At 35.6% G+C, this 16,139-nt stretch overlaps 4 protein-coding genes and 1 long non-coding RNA gene across 7 annotated transcripts in view; all 5 read left to right on the top strand.

Annotated features, from left to right (window-relative positions):
* Window positions 1–16,139, top strand: part of PRH1-PRR4 (PRH1-PRR4 readthrough) — a 325,777-nt gene that overhangs the window by 171,399 nt on the left and 138,239 nt on the right. The window lies entirely within an intron of this gene.
* Window positions 1–16,139, top strand: part of PRH1 (proline rich protein HaeIII subfamily 1) — a 290,647-nt gene that overhangs the window by 171,385 nt on the left and 103,123 nt on the right. The gene's annotated exons all lie outside the window — the stretch shown is intronic.
* Window positions 1–16,139, top strand: part of PRH1-TAS2R14 (PRH1-TAS2R14 readthrough) — a 234,202-nt gene that overhangs the window by 171,385 nt on the left and 46,678 nt on the right. The gene's annotated exons all lie outside the window — the stretch shown is intronic.
* TAS2R20 (taste 2 receptor member 20) lies at window positions 1,923–4,266 on the top strand. Its single transcript, NM_176889.4, has one exon. The coding sequence runs from the start codon at window positions 2,352–2,354 to the stop codon at window positions 3,279–3,281; it is 930 nt and encodes a 309-aa protein (NP_795370.2). The 5' UTR covers window positions 1,923–2,351; the 3' UTR covers window positions 3,282–4,266.
* Window positions 13,315–14,314, top strand: TAS2R50 (taste 2 receptor member 50). Its single transcript, NM_176890.2, has one exon. The coding sequence runs from the start codon at window positions 13,367–13,369 to the stop codon at window positions 14,264–14,266; it is 900 nt and encodes a 299-aa protein (NP_795371.2). The 5' UTR covers window positions 13,315–13,366; the 3' UTR covers window positions 14,267–14,314.

Below are 16,139 nucleotides of genomic sequence, written 5' to 3'. Positions count from 1 at the left end.
TAGCGTCTTGCTGAGTTAAATATATTATTGATAAGATATATGCAAATAGCGATAAAGAGACTGGAGGTAAAGGTGACAGGAACAAATTTAGATAAATTATTTTTTGCACTTTTCTATGTCTGTGAGGATAATTTGAACACCACATTTAATGACCCCATAATAGGAATTGCATCAAATGATATGTGAAATAATGCTGATAGTAGTATTATTCATAATAGCTCAAAAATAGACTGCCCAAATATATATTAACTAAGGATGATTGAATGATATGAAAGATTACAGTAAATCCATACAGTGGAACAGTATATAGAGGTGAAAAGAAATGAATCACATGTACATGCAACTATGTAACTAAATTTCAGAAACATGATATCTAGTGCAAGAAGCCATGAACAAGAAGAACACACAGGACTGCACCTATACACAGTTCAAAGCAGGACAGACCAAGCTGTGGAGTTTAGGGTTGTGAACCTAGCTGGTAAAGTATAAAGAAATTCAAGCAAATGATCATCATAGATTATGAATATTGCTTATCTCAGGAGATGTGAATAAAGGTTTAGGGGCTTGGAAAGTGGCCTGGAAGTGGACCTAGTCTGTTTGCAGTGTTCCATGTCTTATCCTGCATGATGGTTACATAAGTGTTTATGATACATTGCTCTTACCTATTTTTGTTTTGGCCCATTTCTAAGTGTGCATTATAATTTTATTTAAAAAATTACAAATTGGGAGAAATGTCACGTAAAAATTATTAATTGCTCTGCTCATTATATACCTAGGGGGAAAATCCACCATTTACGTACATTCTTATACAACTCAAGAGAGCTAAAGTGAATTCTTATTTTAGTTGCAAAATGGAGAAATTTGAGATGCTGTTACCTACAGCCTCCAGATCTTTCCAAAAGTTTTCTTCTAGTTTTAGATATTCACCTCATATTACAAAAACTTTGATATTTCCAACCTATTTTTCCTTTGGCTCCTGAATTTCTGACACAACAAGGGCGCACATATTTCTCAAACTCTTGGATTAGCAGAGTACCTATATCACTTAGCTTTTTCTGCAAAAGAAACTTCTCCAAAACCACATTAGATATTTATATCTCACATGTTTTTGGATTCTGTTTTCTTAAGCTGGGGTTTGGTGGATGGCTCTGGTGATTTGAGATGGTCCAAGTTTTGCCTCTTGGATCTAGTTAGAGTTTGGCCGATTTAAGGCTGGATCAGGCAGGAGCCATATGATTCCATGAGTTACTCATTCTTATTCTGGGAACAGTGTGTTAGTGTGGACATGTTCTCATTATAAACCGGAAAGGAACAAGAAAGCCTAATGTGGAGGTCATCTCAAATTTCGATGTAAAGTGTAGTAATTTTCTGTTCATCAAAGCAAATTACATGATCGAACTCAGAGCCCTAGTGCAAGGTTGTCACTATGCCTGTGGTGGGAGGACACTGCAAAATTATGTGACAAAGGTCTGGTACTCAGGAATGTTTACAAGCTTGCAGGTAGCATTACCAAAAGCCTAAGCATGAGAGATATGTTTCATGAATATTATTCATTGGCTGAAAATCTGGCATGGGAAAAATAGGACTAATTCCACCAGGACGAGCTCCTGGAAACTCATTTTCCATGTCATAAGTTACAAGAAAGCAATTCCTTCCATCCTTGAAGAGTGAAAGTGTGTGTGTGTCTGTGTGTGTGTTTATGAGCTTGTTAATAGTGATGCCATATAGAAGTATTGGTTAACAGCAACCAAATTATAAGGAGTATTGGCTTTCCTGTGGTTTCCAAGAAAATCTTAGGTGATTTTGATAAAAAGTTTAGATTCTGTGTATTTAAATCTGGCTTTAAAAATAAATCCATAGTGATTTTGATCCTAGATTTCACCAGGCTCTTTTAACAATATATTTTTTGTGTCATCTATGTACTGGGTATTAAAATTTCCCCAACAACTGAAGGGCTGAACACAAATTATGGAAAGGTGAAACAAGGAAAAAATTGCAAAGCAATGAAAGAGGATATGTCTTTATTTGAATGCTAGCAAATGAGAATTCAGCTTTCCCTTCAACATCAGTATGAAAAATTTCAGCCTATAGCAAGAATAGAGACTTTATGAATAAGAATTAATTTGAGTTGTTTTGGGACTAACAGTATTTCCCATAAAGGCAGCATTGAACTCATTCATTAGTTTAAGCTGGTGCTTTTCTGTTGACATTGTTCACAGAATTTAAAAGTATAAAGAATGTTATTGGACATTCAGGAATCAAGTGCATATTTAACTTAAAGTCTTGAATATCAGAGGAGTCACCATCAGTGACATTAGGCCTGAATTTTTTACTTGCTTTTTTGTTTAGACATGATGAGTTTTCTACACATTGTTTTTTCCATTCTAGTAGTGGTTGCATTTATTCTTGGAAATTTTGCCAATGGCTTTATAGCACTGATAAATTTCATTGCCTGGGTCAAGAGACAAAAGATCTCCTCAGCTGATCAAATTATTGCTGCTCTGGCAGTCTCCAGAGTTGGTTTGCTCTGGGTAATATTATTACATTGGTATTCAACTGTGTTGAATCCAACTTCATCTAATTTAAAAGTAATAATTTTTATTTCTAATGCCTGGGCAGTAACCAATCATTTCAGCATCTGGCTTGCTACTAGCCTCAGCATATTTTATTTGCTCAAGATCGTCAATTTCTCCAGACTTATTTTTCATCACTTAAAAAGGAAGGCTAAGAGTGTAGTTCTGGTGATAGTGTTGGGGTCTTTGTTCTTTTTGGTTTGTCACCTTGTGATGAAACACACGTATATAAATGTGTGGACAGAAGAATGTGAAGGAAACGTAACTTGGAAGATCAAACTGAGGAATGCAATGCACCTTTCCAACTTGACTGTAGCCATGCTAGCAAACTTGATACCATTCACTCTGACCCTGATATCTTTTCTGCTGTTAATCTACTCTCTGTGTAAACATCTGAAGAAGATGCAGCTCCATGGCAAAGGATCTCAAGATCCCAGCACCAAGATCCACATAAAAGCTCTGCAAACTGTGACCTCCTTCCTCATATTACTTGCCATTTACTTTCTGTGTCTAATCATATCGTTTTGGAATTTTAAGATGCGACCAAAAGAAATTGTCTTAATGCTTTGCCAAGCTTTTGGAATCATATATCCATCATTCCACTCATTCATTCTGATTTGGGGGAACAAGACGCTAAAGCAGACCTTTCTTTCAGTTTTGTGGCAGGTGACTTGCTGGGCAAAAGGACAGAACCAGTCAACTCCATAGATTCACAAGAGGTGCATTGTGTGTTTTCTAGCAGAAAACAAATTGATGGTGTCTGGAACATTTTATATTTCCCACAAGTTTTTCCGTAGTCTATGTATTTGAGTAATTTCCAAAAGTTGACATAGAAAAGTCTTTTACCTAAGTTTATTATATAAAAGTATATATATATAATATACATTTGCGTGTGTGTGTATGTCTGAATGTATATGAAAATTTAATATTTACCATAACATACCTTTAATCAACTTTTCATATAAACTGTTCAGTTATACCAAAGTAGGATAAGAAATTTCTCAGAATTATGAACCCATGTGTATTTCACACATTTTTTTATATGATATTTCATTTGAGGAATTTATGATCTCTATTTATAATTAAGAACTGACAGCTTATATCAGAAAATCATTGCTGTTTTTCGTTGTAAAATCATTGCTGTTTTTCGTTGTAATTTGTATCACGTATATGTACCATAGTGTGTTTAACTGTTTAACTATCATTGTTTGAACCTCTAATTTTTTGGATGGTAAGGACATTTAATTCTAAATCGATGAGAATGTGTCTTTGGGGTAGGTTTTTTTGTTTTTTTTTTAATCATGAATTCTTTTTTTCTTTTTTTTGAGATGGAGTCTTGCCCTGTTGTCCAGGCTGGAATGCAGTAGCACAATCTTGGCTCACCACAACGTTCACCTCTGGGGTTCAAGTGATTTCCATGCGTCAGCCTCCTGAGTGGCTGGGACTCCAGGCATGCGCTACCACACGTGGCTAATTTTTTGTATTTTTCTTTTTTTTTTTAGTAGAGATGGGGTTTCACCATGCTGGCCAGGCTGGTCTCGAACTCTTGACCTCAAGTGATCCACTGCCTCAGCCTCCCAAAGTGCTGGGATTATAGACATTCATGATGAATTCTTATTTTATGTTTAATATAAAGCAAATACAATTATTGTTAGATAACAATGCACAAAATAAAATTCAAGGGTGAAAAATATATCTAGTGTACATTTTTATGTGTATCAAAAGCAATACTGAGGAATATTATATTTAATATAGTATGTTAATAGCTTAGAAAAAATCATTTCTATAAAAAGGATGAAGAAACATGATCATGAGCTCTTTTCAGTGCTGTTATAAGTTTCCATACGCAATTAGAAAAGTCATCTCTTCCAGTTTTTGAATTAAACAAAAACCTTTTTGAAGTTGAGATCTGATGTTATATATTTCAGTTTTTTGTCTAAGCCACCTCTGAGCTCCTGAATTGTCAATTTCCTCCTTTATCTTCCATCCTTAAAATTCCTCAAAAAGCTCAAATTTTCCTTACTTTAAAAAGAAGCTCAATCTAAAGAGGGTATAGAAACTATGGCATCTATGAAATCTATATATTAATGATAGGAAATGTCTTAAAGATATGTTTTATTATAATCTTGGTGTAAATAATGAAATGAGAGAAAGTGTGTTGACATATTCACTAATAGCAAGTTCTATTACAAGAAGAAAATGTATAACCTAGTTCAACAGCTAAATTCTGTGTGACTGTATTAATTTCTGGTGTTATGCAATTTTAACAATATTATCTAAACCTTAAGATAAATCATCTCCACATCTGATTTGTTTGTTTATCATATATCTTACCTGGTACAATGTAAATACCATAAAAGTAGAGATCATATAGATCTTGCTTACTGTAGACTCCCAAGACATAAAGATAGCACATAGAATAGGTATTGAAAAATGATACTTTGATGAACAAGTTAATTGGTGAATGAATGAATATGAACTATATTGGGGTGGTGAACCAATGAAAATGTAACACATCACAAAATCTACAGTTGGGTGCACATTTCTGTTCTGGTTTCAGATTGAAGTTACAGGATTATCCAAGAAGAAGAAGAATTTCTCAGAGCAAAAGTTTGGCTATTCCACAATTCTAGGGGAAATATCACTATAATATAGCAGTGATGCAGCTATATCAGATGTGTGACACAAAGACAAAGTGGAAAATAAAAAGATGGCATTTATTACAATACTTTTTACTAAGCATATAAAAGATTTTTGTATAAGTGCACATATCTTTTCTATTGCGAATGATATATTTATATTGTGGTATTTCTAGCTGGTTATTATATAAACAAAAATGACATTTCATTTAAAAAATTTAGTTACCAACTATCTTACTAAAATATAATCTTTATTTAGTATTTTTAATATCCTTTCTAAATGACCACTTTAATCACCATATTATAAACTGATGGAAAAATGAATGAATAATAATTATAACACTGAATGAATATCTTATCAGGGGTCTAGAAGTAGAGCAAATGTCTGATATTAAAGTGATGACATTTATTTGGAAGGAGGTCCACTGCAGAAATGGCTGGGACATGTGGAAATTGAGTCAAGAGAAGATGTGACACTATGTGCTGTAATGTGTGATATGACTCTGCTGACGACCACTTCACAATGATGTGAGAGAGACAGCATGGTGGTTATCAGATGCATGCACTTGGCTCCCAGGACTTTTTCAGAAGGGCTGCGAGAGGACAACACAGCCAGCATTAGCCCATGGAAGCAACAGAGGACGGAGAATATATCTGCTCAGCTGTCTTCTGTCTTCTATTTCCCACTGGCCAGGGTTTCCCTGAGGCAGAACTACCATCTCTGCTGTTCTGCTTTCCATCATCCAATCCCTTGATGGAGGTTATGAAAGTCAGACCTCATGCCCACAATGTGGTGATCCATTCAAGTCCCAAATGGAAGGGTGATGTGGGTCAGGCAAGGTGCTGACCAGGGGAATAGGAGACAGTCAAGTAAATCTGAGGAAGCACATGTTTGTGTCCCATGCAGTCCACTCCTTGTGCCATTCAGATGTGCTCATGCCCTCCAATCATGGCTGACTATGAGCATATAATTTCCACTGTTGCACAGGGTCTTGTGCTTAGAGACGCACACGCTTAGAAGGGCTTTATACATGGGTTAATTTTCTGCACCTGCTGTTTTGTTTTTGAGACAGAGGGCACTCCTCTGCTAAAGAGGGAATGGTCTTGCACTAATTGGCTAGGGGTTTGCTCTCCCCTCTCCTGTGGGCTTGTGAGAAGCATGCACAGAGTCTTATAATGCCCACTATGCATGCATGCCTCTAGCGGGTTTGAATTCTGCTGGATTATCTGTCACAATGAGCACAGCAGCTTGGACTAGAGCCTACATTTGCTAGAGGCATTTTTTGTTCTAGTTCCACTTGAGACCAGTAGCCTTTGGCAACTTCATTAGTGAATCAGAGCAGTATCCTCAAATGTGGAATACGTTGGCTCCCAAATCCCAGTAGGCCCAACAAATATTGTGTCTCATTTTTAGTGACAGGAAATAGATGTATAGAGAGCAACATGCTGTTTACTTTAAAAGGGTGTTTCAGCATGTGGACTAGGAGCACTGGACCCCTAAAATCATCATCTATGTTATAGGTCACTGAATCTTCTTGTTCATCTTTCTTCTTCTGGTATTTAGTTCTGTTCAATGTTATGGTATTTTACTATATTTGAGAAACTCATCACTTCCTGCTTATGGGTAACAGTTAATGCAATATTATTAATATATTGAGTTAGCATGATGTTTTGCAAAATGCCAATTAAACTGAAAACAGAAGTGACGTAGCCATGACATAAAACAGTGAAGCAGTGCTTTTGTTCTTACCTCACCAAAACAAATCATTTTGATTTTCTCTCCCAATCGATGTAGATTAAAAAGCATTCACCAAATCAAACGCCTCATACAAAGAACCAGAAACCATGTTTTCTCAGTGAAGGTACCACATCCTAGAGAGCATCTGCAAGTGTGATTTAAGTTTATGCTAATGTGCATTCATCTGATAATCCATCTGGCTTTGGCAGAAGCCAGATAGGTTAACAGAATAGGGATCAAAAATGGACAACCACCTCCTGGAACTTTTGAGTTTTTTGTCATGTCGGTGACCAATTCTATTCCTTGGACAATGCGGTTAGTATGTTTTACTCATTTTCTTGCCAGAAGAGGAGAATTACCGAGGACTCTTTTTGGTCCTACTTACAGTAATGTCCCTTAATATACAGGTCTGGAAGCAATGTGAGAGTTCTGCTAGCTGTTGAAACTGTTAATTTCATTTAACATTCTGGAAGAGATAATAAATATAAACCCATTACATCCACCTTAGGTTGAACATGAGCCAAAGCTTTATGCAGCATCTGACTTTCAAAAACTCATACTCCAGGACTGGTGAGGTGGCTCACACCTGTAATCCAAACAATTTGGGAGGCTGAGGTGGGAGGAGCACTTGAGGCCAGGAGTTCCAGATCAGCCTGGGCAAGACAGCAAGACCCTGTTTGTTAAAGAAAATAAACTGATTGTAGTACTGCGTGCCTGTAGTTCCAACTACCCAGGAAGTTCTGGCAGGGGGATCAGTTTAGCCCAGGAATTTGAGTCTGCAGTAAGCTATGATTGTGCCATTTCACTCCAGCCTGGGCTGCACTCTAGCCTGGGCAACCAAACAAGACTCTGTCTCTAAAAACAAAAAAAAACGAACAACCGAAAACAAAGCCTCCCACTCCATTCTGTGAAACACAGTGTCTTTTTTTAGTTCTCAAATATTATTAGTGTTAGTTCAGGCCCCATGTTTAAAATTCTGAGAGTATGGATATATGTCCTTTCCTCTGGGTACTGTTATGGCTACAGGTGAAATGGCTACAGGTGCTTGAGAAAGGGTCAAGTGAATATTTCCTGAATATTTTTGTGGTGAATCTTCAGTGTTGTTTACCGAGGGCATGTAAGCTTTCCTTCAATCATTGAACTCTGCTTCTCTGAACTGGCTCAGTCCAGAGAACTGGCTAAGGGTTTTTGATTTTCAATGTCAAAGGCTGACCTCAGGAGTCAGCTTTTGCAACTCTTGTCCCCTCTTGGTTTATAATTATTTAGCAAAGTATGAGGCCTCTTCAACTATCGGTCCATCAACCCATTTAAATGAGGCTGTTACTGTCACCACTCCATTAAATCTGACATTTGCAAGATCACCGATAAGTCTGTGTTGCCAATGGTTAGTTTTCATGTTGCATGCTCTATGAGCAGCACTGAACCTGGTTTATTTGCATTTCAGGATGCTGCCCTCTCCTGATTTTATCCTTGTTCACTGGCACAATTTCTTAGTCTCCTTTGCTAGTTCTTCCTCTTGTCTGTAAACTGAAAATATCAGATTGCCCAAGGTCTAAATTCTTCAATCTCTAATCAATTATGTCTGGTTTTTTTGGTGATCTCATGCAGTCTCCTTACAGATAATGTAGCCACATGGTTCAATAGAGAGGAATAAGGCTGATTATTCATATATGTTATTTATTTATATACATATAGTTACATATATCAAATTATGTAACCCTTTTTTTCAAATGTCAAAGTTACATTTAAAAGTCACAATACTAAAAATCTATGGAGAAGGTCGGAGCATCAATAATGTTTTTACTTGAATTTCTGCTAAATCAGAGTGATGGTGACCAGATAGCTAATTAAGTTTTATTTAAAATAGCCATGTAGATTGATAGGCAGGGGATTATCATTATAGAAAAAAATGATATAAGTAAGGAAATATACAGATAGAATAATGATTGATTAACCCATTTTGACTTATTGTACTTGGTACAGTTAATGTCTTAGTATCTCAGTAATCTGTTTTTATATTTTTCTCTATGATCAATTAATTATGAGTTAATTTTTATATATGGTATGAAATAATGGTCTACACTCATGTTTTTATCATTCTGTTTTTACTCCCACTTCTTAGGTAAGTTCATCTAGTCATAACCTTAGTTACTTTCTGTGTGCTGTTGATGCCAATATTTAATTCTTCAGCTCAGAAGTCAATCCTGGTCTCTAGAATCCTTTCTCTAAGAAGTCATTTGACATCTTCATTTGGATGTCGTAACAAGAACTTGAACTAACATGTCCAAATCAAAATAGTGATCTTCCCTCTAGTCTCCAGCGTTGTTTCTTCTATAGCCTTTCCCTCTTCTGTTAATGACCACTTCAGTCTTTCAGATGCTTAGACCAAAAACACGGAGTTAACATTTTCTCTCTTTCAGAACTCATCTCTAAGGCATCAGCAAATTTTGTTGGTTCTACCCTCTTGTTGGTTCTACCCTCAAAAACATACAGAATCCAATCCCTTGTCATCACTTTTGCCATACTCATCTAAACTGCTGCCATACCTAGCCAAGATAATTGCCATCAACTCCTAATTATTCTTTCTAGTTCTGCACATCATTTTCTCCTGATGTACTCTCAAGATAGCAGCCAAAGAGAGCCTATGAAGATGCAAATTTGATCATGCCATTCTTCAGCTTTAGATTTTTCAGTGGCTTCTCATCTCATTAGAGTAAGGCCAAAATCCTTACAAAGTCCTATAATCATTTGAATGATCGGATTTTGTCTGCCTGTCTGTCCTAAAATGCCTGGCTATCCCATGCTAGCAACACTGGACTTTGTGTAATTTCTTGAATGTACCAAGAATTGCCTCAGGGACTTCGTACTTGTGTCCCTTCTTCTCGGAATGCTCTTTCTCAGAAATCAACACTAAACACTATCACTCATCAAACATCACTGAATCATTGAGGCCTCCTTGATTTGATCTTTGTATATGGTGATAAATAGGCATCTAGTTTCATTTTTCTGCAAATGGATATCCAATTTTCCCAGCACCATTTAGTGAAGAGACTGTCCTTTCCCCAGAGTATGTTCTTGGCACCTTTGTCATGAGTTCTCTATAGGTGTGGATTTGTTTCCACATTCTCTATTCTATTTCGCTGCTCTATGTGTCTGTTTTTATGCCAGTACCATGCTGTTTTGGTTACTATAGCTCTGTAATATACTTTGAAGTCAGGTGATGTGATTCCTCCAGTTTTGTTCTTTTTGCTCAGGATAACTTTGGCTATTCTGAGACATCCGTATATTTTCAGAAGCCATTAAAATTTAGATGAGATAACTAAAACCAATTAAAAACAAATGCCACAGGATATCAAAGACCAATCGAAAATCTGAAAAGTAGGTAGAGGAAAAACTTTATGTAAAAAGAAACAACTGTCTAAATGACAATCTTATTTTCAACAGACAAAATTGAAGCTAGAATTCAATGGAATCATGTCTTCAGTGTGTTTCAAAACCATAGCGGACTTTAACAAATAGAAATTCAAAAGAATATTTTTTAGATAAAAGGAAAATTACTAAAAATATAAAGCTGAACATGCATGAAGGAATAATAAATAATAGAAGTGGTAAATATGTGCATAAGTCTAAATAAATTTTGACTGTATAAAGTGGTGGTGTCTTTTTGGGTTAAGTATTTAATAAGATATATAGAAATAGCCATATATAGTCTGTAAGTAAAGGTATCAAAAAGTGAATTTAGTTAATTTAAATTCGGAATTTTCTATGTCTGTGAAGAGAATTTGAAAGCTATATTTGATGACCCTGTAATTATCTTTCTATGTATATATCCAAAGGAAATGAATCAAATGATATATGAAAGAATGGTCATACTAGAATTATTCATAACTCTTCAAAAAAGAAACCCCCCAAATATGTATCAACTAAAGATGAATGAATCATTACAACACATTCATACAATGGAATAATATAGAGAAGTGAAAAGAAATGAATCACATAAAGATGCAAGTATGTGAGTAAATTTCAGAAACGTAAAGGTGAGTCCAAGAAGCCATGAACAGGAACATACAGGACTACACCTACATATGGCTTAAAGGTTTAAAGTAGGTAAAACCGTATCATAGAGTTTAGGGTTGCATACCTAGTTGTTAATGTATAAAGAAAATCAAGGCCAGGCGCGGTGGCTCACGCCTGTAATCCCAGCACTTTGGGAGGCCGAGGCGGGTGGATCACCTGAGGTCAGGAGTTCAAGACCAACCTGGCCAACATGGCAAAACCCTGTCTGTACTAAAAATACAAAAAGTTAGCTGGGTGTGGTGGCATGCGCCTGTAGTCCCAGCTACTTGGAAGGCTGAGGGAGGAGAATTGCTTGAACCCGGGAGGTGGAGGTTGCAGTGAGCTGAGATCGCGCCACTGCACTCCTGCCTGGGTGATAGAGCGAGACTCTGTCTCAAAAAAAAAGAAAATCAAGGAAATGATCATTCTAAATTATGGCTATTGCTCTCCTCAGGGTATGTGAAGAAAGGTGTAGGGGCTTGGAGAGTGGCATGGAGGTGGACCTAGGCTATTTGCAATGTGACATGTTTTGCCCTGCTTGATGGTTGCATGAGTGTTTATGACACATTGCTATGTTTACCATCTTAGTTTTCACCCATTTCTAAGTGTGCATTATAATTGTATTTAAAAATTATTAACTGGAAAAATGCTCCATAAAGAATATTAATTATTCTGCTCATTGTATACCTTGCAAAAAATTCACCATTTATACACATTTTTATACAACTCTTAGAGAGTTGAAGTAGGAACTTTATTTTAGCTGCAACATATGGAAATTTCAGATGATGCTACCTGCAGCACACAAATCCTTTCAAACATTTTTTTATTACCTTTAATTATCTACCTCACATGACAAAACTTTGCCACTCCCCATCTATTTTTCTTTTGGCTCCTGAATTCCTGACAAAACAGGGGCAAATATATTTCCCCACACTCTTGGTGTAGCATAGTAGCTGTACCAGTTAGGTTTTTCTACTAGAGAAACCCTCCAAAACTACGTTAGATATTTTTATCTCATATATCTTTGGATTCAGGTTTTCTAAGCTGGGTTTGGTGGATAGCTCTGGTGACTTGAGATGGGCCAAGTTCTGCATCTTGGAGCTAGTTAGACTTTGGCCAATTTAGGATGGATCAAGTGCAGGCAAACTGACTCCATTAGTTTTCATTCTCATTCTGAAAACAGTGTACTAGCCAGGTGATAATCTCATGATCAATGGAAAAGAGCAAGAAACCCCAATATGGAAGCCATCTCAAACCTCGGTGTGAAATCTACCAATTTTCTGTTCATCAAAGAAAGTTGTGTGAGTGAGCTCCGAGTCCAGGGGACAGATAATCAACCTGCTTATGGTGGGAGGATACTGCAAAATTATGTGTCATAGGGTGTGGTACTCAGGAATATTTACAAAATTGTTGAACATTTTAATTAAATAATAAATACTTAAACATTAAATAGACTTGAGAGTAAGTTTACCAAATGCTTAAGCATGAAAGATATGTTTGATGTTTGATACATTTTTTTGGGGGGGGTCTGAAAACCCTCAGTTTTCACTGGGAAAATAGGACTAATTTCACGTGGATGGCCTCCAGGAGACTTACTTCCCATTTTGGAAAGTATAAGAAAATAATTCCTTCCATCTCTTAGGGGTGTCACAGTCTCTCTCTCTCTCTCTCTCTCTCTTTCTGTGTTTGTATCTATTTATGAACATGGTAACAATAAATTCACACAAAAGTATTGGGTTAGCAGCAACCAGATTTTAAGGTGTTTTGGTCTTCTTATGGTTCCCAAGAAAACCTTGGATGATTTTGATTTAAAAGTTTGGATTCTGTCTGTTTAAATGTAGCATAAATAGTAAATCCGTTATGGTGGTGATCCTAGTTATGACTAAGGTCTTTTAAAGAACTTAGACATTTACTGTATGAACGATGGACTCGGGGGTAAAATTTCCCTATCTAACAGCTGAAGTTGCTGAACACAAATTACGTATCGGTTAAACAAGGAAAACATTGCAAAATATTGAAAGAGAATATGTCTTTATTTGCATGCTGGTAAATGAAAATTTAGGTTTCACTTCAACTTCATTATGAATAATTCAAGCCCATCACAAGAACGGACATTGAATGAATGAGTTAATTTGAGCTGTTTTGAAAATAAGAATGTTTTCCGTAAAGATGACATCAAACTCATCCATTAGCATAAGCTGGTACTTTCTTGTTTGACACTGGTCACAGTGTTTAAAAGTAAAAAGAATGTTACTGCACATTCAGAAATCAGATGCACATAAAATTTAAGGTCAGAGTATTAAAGAAATCACAACCAGTGATATTAGGCTTGCATTTTCTTTCTTTTTTTCTGCTCAGATATGATAACTTTTCTATACATTTTTTTTTCAATTCTAATAATGGTTTTATTTGTTCTCGGAAACTTTGCCAATGGCTTCATAGCACTGGTAAATTTCATTGACTGGGTGAAGAGAAAAAAGATCTCCTCAGCTGACCAAATTCTCACTGCTCTGGCGGTCTCCAGAATTGGTTTGCTCTGGGCATTATTATTAAATTGGTATTTAACTGTGTTGAATCCAGCTTTTTATAGTGTAGAATTAAGAATTACTTCTTATAATGCCTGGGTTGTAACCAACCATTTCAGCATGTGGCTTGCTGCTAACCTCAGCATATTTTATTTGCTCAAGATTGCCAATTTCTCCAACCTTCTTTTTCTTCATTTAAAGAGGAGAGTTAGGAGTGTCATTCTGGTGATACTGTTGGGGACTTTGATATTTTTGGTTTGTCATCTTCTTGTGGCAAACATGGATGAGAGTATGTGGGCAGAAGAATATGAAGGAAACATGACTGGGAAGATGAAATTGAGGAATACAGTACATCTTTCATATTTGACTGTAACTACCCTATGGAGCTTCATACCCTTTACTCTGTCCCTGATATCTTTTCTGATGCTAATCTGTTCTCTGTGTAAACATCTCAAGAAGATGCAGCTCCATGGAGAAGGATCGCAAGATCTCAGCACCAAGGTCCACATAAAAGCTTTGCAAACTCTGATCTCCTTCCTCTTGTTATGTGCCATTTTCTTTCTATTCCTAATCGTTTCGGTTTGGAGTCCTAGGAGGCTGCGGAATGACCCGGTTGTCATGGTTAGCAAGGCTGTTGGAAACATATATCTTGCATTCGACTCATTCATCCTAATTTGGAGAACCAAGAAGCTAAAACACACCTTTCTTTTGATTTTGTGTCAGATTAGGTGCTGAGTAAAAGACCTGAAACTCTCAACTCTCTAGATTCACAAGTGGGACATTGTGTGTGTATTCTAGGAGAAAACAAACTGATAGTGTCTGGAACATTTTATACTTTTTACTGTTTTTTCTGTAGTGTATGTTTTTGAGTATTTTCTGAAAGCATACCTAGAAAAGTCTTTTACCTAAAGTTAGTCTAAAAGTGTATCTATGTGTGTGCATCTGTATATGAAAGACTTAAAAGACATTGACAATAACATAATGTTAATCATATTTTCACAAGATGCCAAATTATAGAAAATATGGTAAGAAGTTTTTCAGAATCATGAACCCATGTATATTTCACATATACATTTCATATTATCATGTTTCACTTGAAAACTGTGTGATCTTTACTTATAATTGTTAAGAAGTGACACATTATCTCAAAATCTTTGCTCTTTTCCACTGATTTTTACCACACATATGTACCACAGTGTGCTTAAACATCTAAATTTTTTGATAGTAAGCACACTCAATTCTAAATCAATAATGAGGTTTCATCTTTGGGGTAGTTTTTATTTCATCATGAATTCTAATTTTATGTTTAGTTTATAGCCAGCATAATTATTTTCAGAAAAAGATGCACAGAATAATATTCAAGGATGACAAATATATTTAGAACACATTTTGTATATGTCTACCATAAACAGTACTGAGGAATAATAGACTTAATACAAATATGTGAACATTTGAGAAAAAAGTCATTTCTATAATAAGGATGAAGAAAGAAACACCGTGATGACTTATGTTGTCATAAGTCTCAACATGCAGTTAGAAAAGTCATTTCTTCCAGTTTTTGAGTTAAAGAAAACCTTTTTTGAAGTTGAGATCTGATGTCAAGTATTTCAGGTTTTTTTTTCTAAACCACCTCAGAGTCCCTGAATTGCCAATGATCTCCTCTATCTTCCATACTTGAAATTCTTTTTAAACTTCACATAAAAGAACTTGAGTCTTCCCTACCTTAGAAAAATACTCTATGTAAAAATAGTATAGAAATTATAAAAATCATTTGAATTAAACTTTTTGCAAATGTTAAAATGGCATCTATGAAATCTATGTATTAATGATAGAAAACATCTAAAATATATGTTGTATTATAATCTAGTTGCAAATAATACAATGAGACAGTGTGTTGATATATTCAGTAATAGCAAGTTCTATTATAGGAAGAAAATGTATAACATCATTAAACAATTAAATTCTATAAACTGTATTAATTCTTGGAGTTATGAAATTTTAACAATATTATCTAAACCTTGGGACAAATCATCTCTACATCTGATTTAGTTATTTGTTTGTTTATCATATATCTTTCCTGGTACAATGTAAGCACCATAAAAGCAGAGATCATATAGATCTTGCTTACTGTTGACTCCCAGGGCCTAAAAGACAACACATAGAATAGGTATTTAAGAATATTTTGATGAACAAGTAAATTGGTGAATAAAGCAGTAAACTAACTATATGGGAGTGGCAAACCAATGAAAATGAAACTTCATCACAAAATCCAAAGTTGCATAAATTTTTATTTTCTGGTTTCAACTTGAGGTTACAGAATTATCTAAGAAGAAGTATTTCTCAGAGCAGAAGTATGGCCATTATACAATTGTAGGGGAAATACCACTCTAAGATAGCCCTGATGAAGCCATATTCGATGTGTGATGGGAAGATAATGTGGAACATCAAAATCAGCTTGTACCTATTGTGATACATTTTAAAAAGCACATCAATATAAAAGATTTTGGTATCTTTGCATACAATTTTTCAGTTGTGAATGATATATTTGTATTGTGATATTTCCAGCTGGTTAGTGTATAAACAAAAATGGCATTTCATTAAAAAAAAC

This window comes from Homo sapiens, chromosome 12 (genome assembly GCF_000001405.40).
Source record: "Homo sapiens chromosome 12, GRCh38.p14 Primary Assembly".
NCBI classification, from domain to species: Eukaryota; Metazoa; Chordata; class Mammalia; order Primates; family Hominidae; genus Homo; species Homo sapiens.
Note: the sequence above shows the minus strand (reverse complement) of the source record. Positions and strands in the feature narration are given on the sequence as shown.